General features: G+C 41.3%; 1 protein-coding gene across 26 annotated transcripts in view; it reads right to left on the bottom strand.

Moving 5' to 3' along the window:
• CAMTA1 (calmodulin binding transcription activator 1) overlaps positions 1 to 15,612 on the bottom strand; it is a 984,253-nt gene that overhangs the window by 865,426 nt on the left and 103,215 nt on the right. Inside the window, exon 6 of one of the 26 annotated variants that reach the window (XR_001737064.2) lies at positions 857 to 15,440. The exons of the other annotated variants lie outside the window; for them this stretch is intronic. The gene's annotated coding sequence lies outside the window, so the exon portion shown is untranslated. Of the gene's footprint in view, positions 1 to 856; positions 15,441 to 15,612 lie in introns of those variants that run through there. 26 annotated transcript variants of the gene reach the window in all.

The raw sequence follows: 15,612 nt of genomic DNA, 5'->3' as shown, positions 1-15,612 counted from the left end.
ACAAATGCTACAGAGAAGCCAGGAAGGATGAGGGCTGAAAAGAGGCCATGGGATTTAATAACTAAGCGTGTTCAGTGAATTCTAACATGAGAAGTGCCTATTGAATGGAATGAGGAGGCAGATGCACGATTTCTGTGGTGAAGGAAAGAATGGGAAGGGAAATGGAGAGAGAAAATAGTACCAGGGAAGGGCCAGGAGAAACTTACACAAAATGAGAATGGCAGCACATTGCTGAGTAGAGTGAGCAAGGTAGAATAAATATCTGGATATGTCGTTTGAACTCAAGAGAGAGGAATAAACTGTAGATAATTTGGGAATCGTCAACAGAGTGGTAATGATAGAAGTCTTGCCCAACGATGACACTGCCCATGGAGAGTACAGATAAAAAGAAGGTCTGCGATGTCCACAGGAAACTGGAGCAAGGGCCTCTCTTCCAATCCTTTGTCCACACCGTTCCTTCCTTCCCACCCATCCAGCTCAATCCATAATGATGAATTCCAGCTACATTAGTTTCTGGAAGGAGTTGCCCCTTAAGATTAGGCATATGGAAAGTCTTCAACTTCTTCGTAACACTGAGGTTCTACAGATGGTGAACTGGTAAATAAAGACAGGTCCTATAGGACCCAGGGTCAGAAACATGGGTTACTCACCTGTTCCTTGGATATTCTGAAGCTCTGAGCCATGTCCAAGAGCACAATCACAAGCTGAGTCTTTCCTCGTGCTTCAGTAAAATACTGGATAATGCCAACAAGATGCACCACATAGAAACTTGGGTTATGCAAAATGCACATAATGATGACCCAACAGAATAAATGGTTCTAAATAAACTTAGGATTCAATAAAACAGCTGTAAAAGTGGGTTTTAAATATATTTTTAATTAAGGTATAATTAACATACAATAAAATGTATAGATCTTCATCTGCTGGATGAGTTTTAAGAAGTGTATAAACACGTAATCACTACCCAAAATGGGAGTGAGCCTACACTTCCACCACCCAAAACCTTCCTTGCCTCTTTCCGGTTAATTCCCCTCCCTACTCTTAAGAAAACACTTTTGATCACCATAGAGTGGTCTCATCCGTTCTTGGATTTTATCTAAATGCATTCATAGGGTATGTCCTTCTGTTCTTCAGCTCCATCCATATGGTTGTTAACAGTAGTTCATTCTTTTTTATTACTCAGCAGTATTCCACTGTAATAATTTATTCATTCTTCAGTTGATGGATATTTGGGCTGTTTCTATTTTTGGCTTTATATGAACATTCTTATATAAGTTCTTTTGGGAACATATATTTTCATTTTCCTAAAGTAAATACTTAAGAGTGGAACTGTTGGATCATGGTGTACATGTATGTTTAATTTCAGGAAAGAAAACCTGCCAATCAAGTCTCCCAAGGGGTTGGACTACTTCATACACCAACCAGCAATGTTTGAGAGTTGCAGTTGTTCCACAATCTCACCAACATTTCATGTTGATAGTCTTTTTTATTTTAGCCACTCTAATAATAGATGGCATCTCACTGTGGTTTTAACTTGTATTTCCCTGACGTTGAACACCTTTCTACATGCTTATTGGCCATGTGTATAACTTCTTTTGTGAACTACCTGTTCAAAGTGCACAGGTCCATACATTCTGACAAACAAACAGAGCTGCATAACCACAATCACAAACACCATACAGAAAATTTCCATCACCTCAAAAAGTTCCCTTGTGCTCTTCTGTAACCGACCCACCCACAGCAACCCAGTCCACAGCAACCACTGATGTTTTCTTCCCATACAATTTTGGCTTTTCCAGAAGGTCACATAAACAGAATCAGGCCTTTTGAGTCTGGCTTCTTCTCACTAATCATAATGCATTCGAGACTCGTCCATGTTGTGTCACTTTGTTCCTTTTCACTGTGAGTAGTACTCCAATGAAGTTGCTTATTCATTGGCCAGTTGAATGACATTTGGGTTGTTTCAGCTTTTGAACATCATGAGTAATGCTGCTGTAAATGTTCCCATACAAATTTCTGTAGGTGCATAACTTTATATTCTCTTAGGTAAATACCTAGAAGTGGGATTGCTGGGTCTTGCTGTAAATGCAGATTTGTAAGATTCTTAAGTGTAGACTTATAAGAAAATGTCAATGTTGTTTCCAAAGTGGCTGTAGCATTCTGCATTCCTAAAAGCCAGTACGAGTTTTTATTTTTATTTTTTTTTTTGTGTGTGTGTGTGTGTGTGTGTGTGTGTGTGTGACAGTCTCACCTTGTCATTCGGGCTGAAGTGCAGTGGCGTGATCTCTGCTCACTGCAACCTCCAACTCCTGGGTTCAAACTATTCTCCTGCCTCAGCCTCCCAAGTAGCTGGAATACCGGGGCCCACCACCATGCCCGGCTAATTTTTGTACTTTTAGTAGAGACGGGGTTTCACCATGTTGGCCAGGCTGGTCTTGAACTCCTGACTTCAAGTGATCCACCTGCCTTGGCCTCCCAAAGTGCTGGGTAAATTACAGGTGTGAGCCACCGCACCAGGCAAGAGTTTCAGTTTCCCTACATGTTCACCAGCACTTGGTATTACCAGGGTCTTTTTGGTTTTATTTTGGGAAGATACCCTAGTAACTGTGTACCAGCATCTCATTGTGGTTTTTAGTTTCATTTCAATGATGAATAACGCTGTTGAACATTCTTCATGTGCTTAGTTGCCATCTGTGTATCCTAAGATGTCTAGAGAACTCTCTTGCCCATTTTTAAATTGGGTTGTTTTAAAGTTTTTAAAGGTTTTAAAGTTCTTCATACATTATGGATCCCTTATTAGACGTATGTTTTACAAAGGTTCCTCCCAGTCTGTGGCTTGTTTTTTCATTATCTAAACAGTACCTTTTGAAGAACAGGATTTTTTAATTTCTAGGAAGTCTGATGTTTTGTCTCTTATGGATTGCACAATTGGTGCCATATCTAATAAATCACTGCTAACCCAAGGTCATGAAAACTTTCTCCCATGTTTTCTTCCAGAAGGCTTATAGATTTAAACTTAGGTCTATGATCCACTTTGAGTTAATTTTTATATACAGTATGGGGTATGGGTTGAGGTTCATTTTATTTGCACATGAATGTCCAGTTGTTCCATTACAATCTGTTGAAAAGACTATCCTTTCTCCATTGAATTCCCTTTGCACCTCTGTCAAAAACCAATTGAGCATCTATGTGTGGATCTGTTTCTGGATTCCCTATTTGGTTCCATTGATTTATATGTCCATCTTTTTGCAATACCACACTGTCTTGATTACTGTAGCATTACAGGAAGTCTTGAAATCAGGCTATCTCCTAGCTTTGCTCTTTTTCAAAGCTGCTTTGGTCTTTCTAGATCTTTTGCATTTCCATAAAAACCTTGCAATTAGTTTATCTAGATTTTGAGTAGGATGGCACGGAATTCATAAATCAATTTAGGGAAAACAGACATCTTACTATTTAGTCTTTCAATACATGGTATAGCCCTCCATTTATATAGATCTTCTCTTAATTTCTCTCACAGATATTTTGTGGTTTTCAGCATAGAGGTCTTACACATATTCTTAGTTTTATTCTAAGGTATCTGAAGTTTTTGAAGCTACTGTAAATGGTACTGATATTTAAGTTTCCTCTTCCAATTGTTTGTTGCTAATATATAGAAATACAATTGATCTTGTATCTTGTTGTCTTGCTGAATTCATTTATTCTCATAGGTGCTTGGGTTTTTTTTTATATAGATTCCATGGGTTTTTCATAATCATGTTGTTTGCAAATAAAGGCTAAATTCTGGAGTTAGATTAATTTGACTGTCTAAAACTCCAAAAGACAGGTGCTTTTCAATTATTAGAAAGTGTCCAAAATTCCAGAAAAAAAAACTTAAGAATTCTGACCTCAGAGTTTTTACTTCCCTTTCTTGTCAGATTAACACCATCTTACAAGGGATGACAGGAGGCTGTCTCATTGCACGGGAACGGGAGGCCACCATCAAGAAACTCTGGTGGCTATGATAACTTACACACAGTTTCAAAGTTATCCCTTCCACACACCACCTCTGTGTCCTGTGCAGTCTGCAGTGCTGGTGGCAGGCCTGATGACTACCAATGTACCAAGCAATGAAGCAGCATATGTTTAGTATCTCCAGGCTCTATCACCTGGATATTTACTGTAAGCTTCTGGTAAAGTGATCTCTTTCAGCCTGGTAAACAAACTCTGGATTTCACATGTGACTTTTCAAAGAGCTGCAGGGAGTGGGGCTGTTGACAGCATTTTTCCCACCAGCAAAGAGACACACGAAAAGGTCTCAATTATAGGTAACTGACAATCCAACAGCAACAAACACGCACAGTGTTGGCAATGTAAAATCCAAAGATGCTTGTATAACACAGAGGCAACACCAAGTTCACCAAGTTTATGGCTCAATTACTAAAGTACACAGAAACAAGGAAACAGATCAACCGATGAAGGACTTGACAAGGGCTTGTGTTTAAAATGTATTGCTGCCACCACGTGATTTTCTTCCATTCCACAACCTTATATAACTTAAGTCCTCAGTCATATCTACAGTATCAACTGCTATGATTTGTTGAAGTTAATTCCTGCCTCCATCACAAAAATCAAGCAATTATTTATCATGCTAGTGTTATTTTTGCCCAGTGGTTTCAGGTACAACTTTATTATGAGATAGTGAAACTCTGTGTGTGTGTGTGTGTGTGTGTGTGTGTGTGTGTGTGTGCGCGCGCGCGTGCGCGTTATACACATATAATTTTTTAACAGCGAAGTAACTCTCAAGCACTCCACTGCCATTCCATCAAATGCAAGGCAAGTGATTGCTGAATTCCCAATTATGCTCAAACTTAAATCACACTGTTTGGTCTGATTGTATACCCAGCCCTACAGGGAGTTGTGCAAAGGCATATATTTGGCAAGCTTTCAAACCACGGCAACAAAACATGTGCTGAAGAAAAGGATTCAAAATATTAAGAAAGCAGTCATTTATTTTAGAAAGCCTGTTCACGTGAGACAATAAGCTGCTTCCCAGAATAGGCTCCATCCATCAGGAAAACACTATAACCTAGCACACACTGGCTGGAATCCCTCTCAGCCATCACACAGCAGTGATGATTATTTATCATCCACAGTGCATCAAAGATGGGGAAACAGACTGGGCACGCTTCCATGATGGTGCAGGGCTATCAATGGCAGCAAACCCTCCCCACCCTGAAGAAGCATCCACGGTACCGATGACCTCACAGATCCTAGAGACTTACCTGGTTTTCCTACAGATCCACAGGCGAGCTTGTGGGTACTCAGGTACATGAAGGTGATGGAAGACAGGGGCACCTTGGTGCTACGTCTAGATCATCTATTCCATTTAAAGAAAAAAAAAATCAAACAAAATAAAACAAACCAGGGGGCCCCATGTTGGCCAGCTACCTGTTTGGAGGTCGGCTAGGCAACAAGAGGCTGGAGGTCCTTCTTGGTATCAGGCTAGCTGGGCCTGCTGAGTTAGGCCAGTTGAAGCAAAGCAAAGCTCATTTGAGATGAGACTTAGGAAAATCTCTTTCCAGTATCTTTCCTGAGCATATCCCTGGAAAGCATCTGTACCATCACGAAGCACCAACTCCACCCAGGATAACTGTTCCATTATGAGCCCATTCTCTCACACTCTATGAACTATAACTTATCTGCCTGGAGACAGAATTTCTATCTCCTTTTGTTTGTTTGTTTATTTTTGGAGATGGGCTCTTGCTCTGTCACCCAGGCTGGAGTATAGTGGTGCGATCTCAGCTCACTGCAAGCTCCGCCTCCTGGGTTCACACCATTCTCCTGCCTCAGCCTCCCGAGTAGCTGGGACTACAGGCACCCGCCACCATGCCCAGCTAATTTTTTCTATTTTTAGTAGAGACGGGGTTTCACCGTGTTAGCCAGGATGGTCTCGATCTCCTGACCTCGTGATCTGCCTGCCTCGGCCTCCCAGAGTGCTGAGATTACAGGTTTGAGCCACCGTGCCCGGCCCAGAATTTCTCTCTCCTTCTATCACTGTATCTGAGGAATGGGCAACAGATGGATCTAGTAAGATGTACATAATAATTAGTTTCCTCTAAATCAGGACACATTACAATTTTAACAAATATTTAAGCTCCTCAACCAATTTTAAGAAATATTTAATGAGCCAACTGAAGTACCAAGACAAGAAATAAGAAACTGCAGGTTAGCAAATGAACTGGAATCTCAACTTTCGTAGGGTAAACAACTTTGGATTCGTAGGGTTTTTCAGATACCACTAAACACAGTGTCTGCAAAGAAGAGAAAAAGTTATGGACTGGTGGCTAGCCAGAAATTTCTGCAAATATCTTAGCCATGAAAAGACAGGCTAGAAAAAGAAAACCAAGACGTTTGTGGGCAGAAAATCATTTTGGCTCTTAAGGCTGGGAAAAAAGAAATGAACAATAGTAAGTGGATACTTTTCCCTTACTAACATTCAAAGCAGTTAAACACAACCCATATATCCATCTAGAAGTGCCAATCCCACTTCTTCAGGTTCCATCAGAGAGCTCTGTTTCATTTTCAAACAAATAATCACCACCATATACTGAATGTGTGTCAAACATAGGGTCAAGTGTACTGCACACACTAACTTCTAATTAATCTCTGTGGGAAAGACACTGCCTTTCAAAAACTCACCAGGAGTACCGACCAGGTAGGTAAAGGGAGATGTTTAGAACATTCAGTTGACTAAACCACATTAACTTCAAAAGCAATCAGCCAAAAAGTCAAATCAGAAAAGCGATATACAATCTGGGGGTGTATATATGAGAAAAATGGCTTCCAGTAAATACAGGCTTATTGAGTTTGCACTAACTAGGAAACCAATGACTGACATGGACTTCCAACACTACTCCCCGCCCCACACTGACCCTAAACACACAGTGGCTCAGCAGCTTGTCACCATGGGAACACAATCTGCTGTGCTTACATGCTTCTTGCACACAAGACCATCCATATGTTGGTCAAAACCCATTTTCCACCCCCATCTTCCCACCTTCATTTCACACATCTTGATCCTGAACAGGCCAGGCCCTTTCCTGACTCTGCCTGTGCTCAACCTGTTTGTTCCCTCCTACCTGAACCTGTTCTCTACTCAGGCAAGTGGGGAACCAGGCAGAGTCGAGGCATCTTCAGCTCTGGTCAAACATGAGAAGGGAGAGGTTCTCTTAAAACTAGTCTAATGAATTGATGCTCACTCAAAAGCAACTGAAATCCTCCAGCTCCATGGCTTTATCTCTAGGTCTCAGTTCTAAAAAGGTCCATTTCACTATAAATTAACTGGGAAGTTACTGTTTCTCCTTGCACAACCCAATCACTGTAATAATGCCCTGATAAAGACAGCAACAAGAATGAAAAGTTGCACAGGGGAGCTTCTGCCAAGCAGATGGGTCTCCTGAGTTCTACAATCCAGTCCCCAACGAGTATATTCAAGACCAAAGTAAATACTTCAACAAACAGCTTGGAGTGGCATAATACATTTGAGACTCAGTGAGTTGGAAACGTGATTCTTTTCTTCCCTAAGGAAGCTGATGCAAAGGGTTCCTCAGAAGTAGTTAATTGAACCCTCTGCATCAGCTTCTTTAGGGAAGGAATCACAACTGCCTAGGTATCAGTAGCCATTACCATGTTTTCCTCCTGAACGCTTGGATGTTGCCAGGTGGAAAACTAATGAAACGAAAAGTGGCTGACCAAAGTTTAGATTTCCGCAAATATCTCTATCTTAACAGATTTGCTACCTAACCCCAAAATGAACATTCAACACAGAAAGCATCCCGGCCAGACACGCCACAGGAGAAATCACAGAAAATGCTATCTGGCTCCGAAGGCTGGATCTGAGGGAATTCAAATTCAGTCTTCAGCAAAGGCAAGCAGTGCCATCCCACTGCCCCAGGAAGGACACAGAGGCAGATCGCCACTGGTGAACTCCTACTATGGACCAAGAATGCTAGGAAATTATATTTTCATCTCATTTGGGGTGAACTAGGGGAATTTCATGTCCTTCTAGGGACACAGGCTGATTCTGTTTAAGTACAAGCATTCTGTGAATCCCCAAATTTCAATTTTCAACCCTAAAAGGCAAAGTTTAGAGCAGTTTTTTTCCCAAACGGTTCAAAAAAAATGTGGGCAAGAATTTGAGGAGCAGCTTCTAGGCAGCTAGTTCCACCAAGTGGGAGCTCTTCTTGGGCATTAGTGATCTGCAGGGTTCCGCTCCTGCACTGATTTAATCAATGGATACCTAGGCACTTGCAGGTACATCTAACTACTCAGAACATAGCTGAAAAGGAGATAGACAGGGCCCCCTGCCCTAAAAGAGCTAATAGGATGGGGAAGAGCTGAGGACAAAAAGAAAAAGAAGAGACAATTTCAGACAGTAATAAATGCTACGAAAAAAACCACACTGCCACATGACAGAGTGACAGGGGACTATCACCTGTCATCAGGCTATCGGGGGAGGGTCTCTCTGAGGATATAACATTTGAGGTGAGCCCTGAATGACACAAAGGAGCCAGCAAACAAAGATGGGGAGGAGAGGAAATAATTTTAGGTAGAGAAAACAGCGAATGCAAAAAAGAATCATGTTTGATGGATTCCCCGTATGGGAAGGGTGCTTAGAGGGAAGAGGCACCTGGTAGGAAATGGAGAGGCAGAGGCCAGATTATTCATGCTGACCGGACTCCAAATGGATAGAAAGTCACTGTAGGGTTTAAGCTAGTGAACGAATCCTATTTACATTCTTCATAGATTGCCCTGGCTAGTGCATGGGGAATCTATTCCAAGGGGAGCAAACTGGAGACATGAAGTCCACACAGGAAAATGTGACAGATCTCCAGGCAAAGAAAAGAAGGTGGCTTGGACTAGGGTGGTACTAGCAGAGATGTGCAAAGATGGATGTATTTTGGAAGGAGAAAGATGGGTGTCTGGGATGGGGAAAAAAGGGCAGAATCAAGGACAGGCCTGAGATTCTGGCTTGAACTACTGATGAGTTTGTGTTAAGTGAATCTCAGCCTTCATGTTCATAAATATTCTTCCATGCTCTTTCACCAACTTTGAACTTCAACCCTCACCTGACACCTTTTAACAGCGGACAGAGAACACTGCACCCTGTCCGGACAGACACCAAGGCAGATTTAAGTGTTAATACTTAGACAATCATGCTCCAAAATGAAAGGTGGGTGAGTTCAGGCCCACACACAGGCTCAGGGCCTGTAAGTAGTTTGCCTGAGCTACCTCTTGCCTCCTCCCTTGACCTCGCCCTCCCTACTGAAAAGTCTTGGTCTCCCGGCTTTGCAAAGACCCTCCATCTGAAGCAGCTGCTCACAGAGCATTTTCTGCTTCCTTTTACCAGGCTTTTAAAACAGATACTTTTTCTACCCTGAGTTTGTCACCATTTAAAATGTTGTGCTAGTTAGCAGTAATTATGTAAATGCAAGCCGCCATTTCTATTTTTAAAAGGAACCCCCATTTAGCATTCTTATATCCTGAAATGTTTAAAATAGCTAGTCCAGTGATGTTTTCACTTTATTCAAACTGTTTGTGTGGATTTAAATACAGGTTCAGCAGAAACCAAAGCAAGTCAAACGTTTACTTTCTATTAAACATCTAAATCAGAAGATTAAAAAACTATTTTACATTTAACAGAAAGAAGCCGTCAAATCAGCACAGCGGCAGCTTCACCGTATTTACTGCCAAGAAGGGCTGACGCTTGAGAGGTAATCAATTTAGGAAGGGAGGGATGGATTTCTTTAAATTCTTCAAAAAGGGAAAAATACATTTGAGCAAATCTTTTAATTATAGTATCTTCCAAAGAACCTACAAAGCCTTTATTCTTTCCAAACCTAATGCTTTTTAAAGGCAGCTTTTGCCCCTTAATTCCACATGAAATATTCAGTATAGCATAATTAAATTTTATTCCATGCTATTTTTACTGGGTTCACAGAAATAGAGGGTGGCATCATCCTTAAAACAAACTTCCCAGCAACTTCGCTTTCACAGTGAATGGCTGGTTCTTAAAATTGAACCTAAAATGCAAAACCTACTCCAAATGCCTATTTCAGTTCCGGGTAGATGGGTGGGTACTGAAAAAATAAGTTCATTCATATGTCACACCAACCTTCAAATAAACAATTGCCCCAGTTCTCCGTTCACTTAATTGTGCTTGCCACAAGGCACCTGAAAGCATCAATCTTCATTTTCAGCATTTAAATCCCACAGCCTGTTTTAATCTTTCAGTGTGAATCTATCTGGTGGGTAAAGAAAAGAGAGAGGAGAAAGGAAAGGAAAGAAGTGCCCATCTACAGCTGAAAGACACTAATCATTGGAGTAAATATTTGGATGCCTGGGTCACCTGTGTGAGGAGTGGGCTTGATATTTTTGGTCATTTATGTTAATTATACAACCAAAATCTTAATCTCTTTTCCAGTCAGGGTCAGTAAGATACAAATTAGCACAAACCCCCTTCCCTCGCAGCCTGACAAACGGAATACAGAACGGTACAAAAGCAAGGATTATGGGTCTCTTAAGTGATCCACAGCTAAACCCACCAGCCAACAGAGCCAAGAACCACACCTAGTCTCTCTCTTCCAAGATCATGCAGAAGCCCGATGGAACATAAGCCTATGAAAACGCACAACCCCCTCAGTGCGCATGTGAAGCTACAATCTCCATTTAGAATTCTGCAAACCTAATCAACAGGGATGATCTCAGATCAGTGGTTACCCACCCTCTTATTCCAGCCAGACTGTCTCATCTGTTTCCTAACTTCCTAAAAGCATCACAACTGAAGAGGGCAACCAAACAACAACAAATATTTTTCTCAAGTGACATCTGAAACTGCTGCAAGGGAGCAGCTCGCCCACCCACGCCAAAGAGGCTCCTAGGAAAGCCAGCAGGAACTGGCTTTGGGTGCTGCTCCAGAACTCATAGGTGCCAGGCTAGAACAGACAAACAGCTTTTTTTTTCTTCTTTTCTTTTTTTCCTCGAGATGGAGTCTTGCTCTGTCGCCCAGGCTGGAGTGCAATGACGCGATCTCGGCTGACTGCAACCTCCACCTCCTGCCTCAGCCTCCTGAGTAGCTGGGATTACAGGCACGCCACCATGCCCGGCTAATTTTTTGCATTTTTAGTAGAGATGAGGGCTTCACCATGTTGGCCAGGCTGGTCTCGAACTCCTGACCTCGTGATCCGCCCGCCTCGGCCTCCCAAAAGTGCTGGGATTACAGGCGTGAGCCACCGCGCCCGGCCACAGCTCTTTTTTTTTTTAACAGTTCTTTAATGAGGCTGTTTCTTTATTTCTGAAGATAAAAAACTTCAAAACATGAAAACCTATCTACTCATACATTTTACTTTGTAGTACAGATTCACCTCTATTGTTGATTTAAAACAAAACACCCACCAAAGTGGTCACTGAGATCTCATAGTCTAGAACTAGCTGCCACTACAGCCACCAGCACATGAGCTCCTCTGAACCCACATTTTTCAGAAAAGTTACCTGAGATGCTGTTAGAAACGGAGACCTAGTTGAAAATGAAACCAACCAACCGAGGCAAAAGAGGACAAAATTTGATTTTTATACCACAGAAACAGGTATAGAATTTATATAAAAGCATCTACCCCCACCACATTTGCAAAAAAAAAAAAAAAAAGAAAAGAAAAAAATTTGCTTGGAAGACTCATTTCTGTTTTCAGATTGGATCCCAAGGTTTCAATAAGACATTCTGCTAGTTTCTCAAGAACCTGGCCCATTTATCACTTTTTCAAACTACATCATCTTCTCATTCAAGTATCTCAGTGACTCTTGTAAAAAATATGTCACACGTCTCTACTGTCAAGGTTTATCTCTAGCACAATATGTAACCCACAGATCGCAAACAAGATGTAGCCTCTCAGAGGGGGCCGCAGTTATCCCAGAGCCTGCTGATGGTGCTGGTAGTGTCAATGTCAGGAAGAGGATGAGATGAACTCACAACCCGCCCAATCTGGGATTTCTGAAGGCACAGTATGGCGAAGTTTGGTTAATTCAAGCCCAACAATGCTGATCTCACAAAATTTAGTAAAGATCTGGGCTGAAACAAAATGTGAAAATTGTCTACTAGACTTTAAAGAATGATTATGTATATGAATGCATAAATAAGGTTGCTGAAGTAGAGGTTAGCCATTTTAAGAGGGGAACCACAGCAGTTTCAAAGCCTCCTGATGGCAGAAGTGGGTGGGCTGGTGCTCAGGATGTGTCTGTACAATGACTCACGTGGACCTGGGCTCTAACTCTGGCTGTGCAGTCTCACCAGGCCACTCCTTGGCCTCCCTTACAACATTCAGGTTCATGAAAAGGGAGGGACGAAGCTCTCCTTGCTGGTCTTTCAGGGTTGCTAAGAAACCAAATGAGATGTTGTCTGTGGCATCACTTTCTTAAACTGCAGAAGTACATAAAATCTGAGCTGCTACTATTTTTTTCATATACTAATGCTAATCATAGATTATTTATGTATTAAAATTGGCTGGTGGACTTTCTATTGGGAAGTCCAATAAGCTTCTTTCCTTATTTCTGAAGATAAAAAACTTTTTGTTTTGTTTTTTGAAGATGCAGGTGCTACTACCTTGACTTAAATTGTAATTGCTTGAGAAGTAGCTATGAGATGGCAAAAACGCCTAGTTGAAATACTGATGAAAACTGACTACCCCATGTTTCCTTAGGCTGCACAACTCATTAGCTGTACAAGCAGGGAAAATATTTAGGTGTTAAGATCCCGGAAGATCACAGAAGGCTATTCTAATGTCAAATGACCACAGACACAGGGCAAGCTAAAACCAGAAGGATGGTTTGGAAGCAAATGCCAACACATCTACAATGGAATTCAGGGACTGAGCGCAAACATTTCTGTCTTAGCAAAGTGGTAAATAGGCATTTAAGCCAAATTTGATCCAAGTTCACAGAGATTATATATATGAAAACTCATCAGGGAAACTCAACAGTATAAAAGTGGGGATTGCACAAGAAACCAGGTAAGGGATCTATGGGCACTCCAAACTATCTTAGCAACTTCATTATAAATATGGGATTATTGTCAAATGAAGTTCCTTTTTAATGACCTTCTAATCAAGGTGGGGAGGCTTGCCTTTGAGGAAGGAAAGAGAAATGTCTTTAGCAGCAGTCTGCATAGGTCAATGTGTCAGGACTCTCAGACACATCATCTCACATCATCCTCACAACTCTCTCTTGACACAGGTTCAAAAGACAGCTTAGAATCTGTGACTATTTCACAGCTAAAGAAACTCATGAAAGAGTGACTTTCTTGAGGTCCCACAACTTTTCAGAGTGATGACAGGATTCAGTTTTTGGTCTGCCTAAAGAGTACAGAATCTGGCCAAGCAGGCTGGGCAGGGTGGCTCATCACCTATAATCCTAGCATTTGGGGAGGAAAGCAGGAAAACTGCTTGAGGCCAAGAGTTCCAAGACCAGCCTGGGCAAAATAGCAAGACCTCGACTCCACAGAAAAATTAAGAAATCAGCTGGGCATGGTGGCCCCCACCTGTGGTCCTAGCTACTCAGGAAGCTAAGGCAGGAGGATCACTTGAGCTCAGGAGGTCAAGGCTGCAATAAGCTGTGATCATACCACTGCACTCCCTCCAGCCTGGGCAATAGAGTGAGACTTCACCTCAACAAAAAAAAAAAAAGAAAACTGTCCAAGAGCCTAAGTGGGCAAGGTGGGCTGCCCTCCAGGGAAGACCAAAATGGGAAACAAAGGCCTATCAAAGACTAACCCACTGAAGGCCCACCCCAAGCTGTGCCAGTCAGTCACTCAAAGGCCATCAGGGAGCCTTCCTTCCTTAACCCAGGAAGTGACATGGTCTGCTCTTCAAAAGGAGCTAAGAGATGCATCCAAAAATGGATGTCCTGGTTCCTCATGGGAAATCTCAACATTGGTAATCCCTTCTTATATCAAGTCCACCTGGAAATTCCCTCACAACCTAAGCTGCTGAAGACTTGCTATAAAGCTGGTACTGAGTCAATGCCAGGGCCATGGCTTAATGGAGTAGGAAACTGACGAGCACTGAACACATGAAAAAATATGAAATTACAGGGCCAGTCATAAACTGGCTTCTCTTCAGCAGAGCCTCCGGAAGGCTCCTGGGTCAGAGTCCCTCTCTGCCTGACGTCCTCTGTGTGCCACCAGAGGGCACTAACTCATGGAACTGCTCTTTAAAATCAGGTCACACACAAACTGCAGGAATGTTGAATGAAAACTAGCCTTCAAATCAATGAAGTGCTAACTATGTAATTTTGACAGTGGCTTTAAGCATTTGCTGGTCAAAATTTTCAATTTAATTCTACAAAACTTAAAGGTACACACATGCAGCAGCAGAAAATACTAAAAACAGTAAGCTGATCAAACCTTCAGATTTATGAAAATAACATATAAAACAAATAAAATAAAACTAAGAGTGATGCATGTGCTCCTGCATCTCTGGTCACAGGGGTTGTCGTATGGATAACCCATCCCAGCATCTTCTACACACACACAATATAAGAGCGCCAAGAAAAACATGCTGATTTCTCCTTTGCTTTAAAAAGCCACTCTTCATTGAATTACAAGTGGACATTAACCATAATAAAACTACAGTACCATTTATTAAGCATGATTAAAACATGATTTAATCTTCTGTGCTAGAATCCTCGTAAGACAAGCAGCAGACACTGACGAGTGCGCACTGCGGCCTAGCTTGCTGTTCTAAGCACATCCCACTTACTTTACTCCCCACATCCCTCTGAGCAGCGATACAATTCCATTTCAGTAAAAAGTTAGTTCGACCTTGCATTTCTTGAATGCAATCAAGAATTTTTCTTTACATCTGTATCCTCTGCTTATGATTTATTTGCCATGAAACTATAAATACAGATTTGTGAGTTCTGCCTCATTAACTGCTTTCTACATTTATTTCTTCACCTCAGAAAATTCATACTTGTTATACTTTCATAAGAGTGTAAGATTATATAATCAAAATAATTCAGCAATCAGTTGAATAAAAAATGCATCATGACCAAAGGTTTTTTCGTTTTATTTTGCTTTGTGGTATGTAAAAAATTTAGCCTTTGCTTTTATTTAAAAGGAACTGAAACAGCTTTAATGGTTTGATCAGAAATATTGGTTACTTCTCTATGCAAAATAAAACTCAAGTTCAATTGGACATTGGTTTTCCTGATTTTAGTTGATTTCCCTCAGTGTGTAATAAATAACTGAAGTTTACACTGAAATGAACAAAATCTGACAAATAAGCTATACCTAAAAAGAAGTTTCAGTTCTTTAAACAATTCGTTACAAGTTAGTGCTACAAATAAACTCACCTTGAGGTAACAGCCTACATCACAGGATACTGTCTCCTTGGTTTTGTTTCTGTTCTTTGCTTAAAAAAAAAAAAGAAAGAAAAAAAGAAAAACTTCCTCAAAGGTTTTTAAGAACAATATTGGTATTCTGGCCTATGCCAACACACAACGAATAAAGACGGGGTAACCATGGCATCTGTGGAGGTATCTGGAACAAAAGTACTTCTGTTAGTATTATCTAAGTAATCGCCT

The sequence above is a fragment of the Homo sapiens genome, chromosome 1, assembly GCF_000001405.40.
Source record: "Homo sapiens chromosome 1, GRCh38.p14 Primary Assembly".
NCBI lineage: Eukaryota > Metazoa > Chordata > Mammalia > Primates > Hominidae > Homo > Homo sapiens.
The sequence above is the reverse complement of the archived record's forward strand: the minus strand, read 5'-3'. Positions and strand labels throughout refer to the sequence as shown.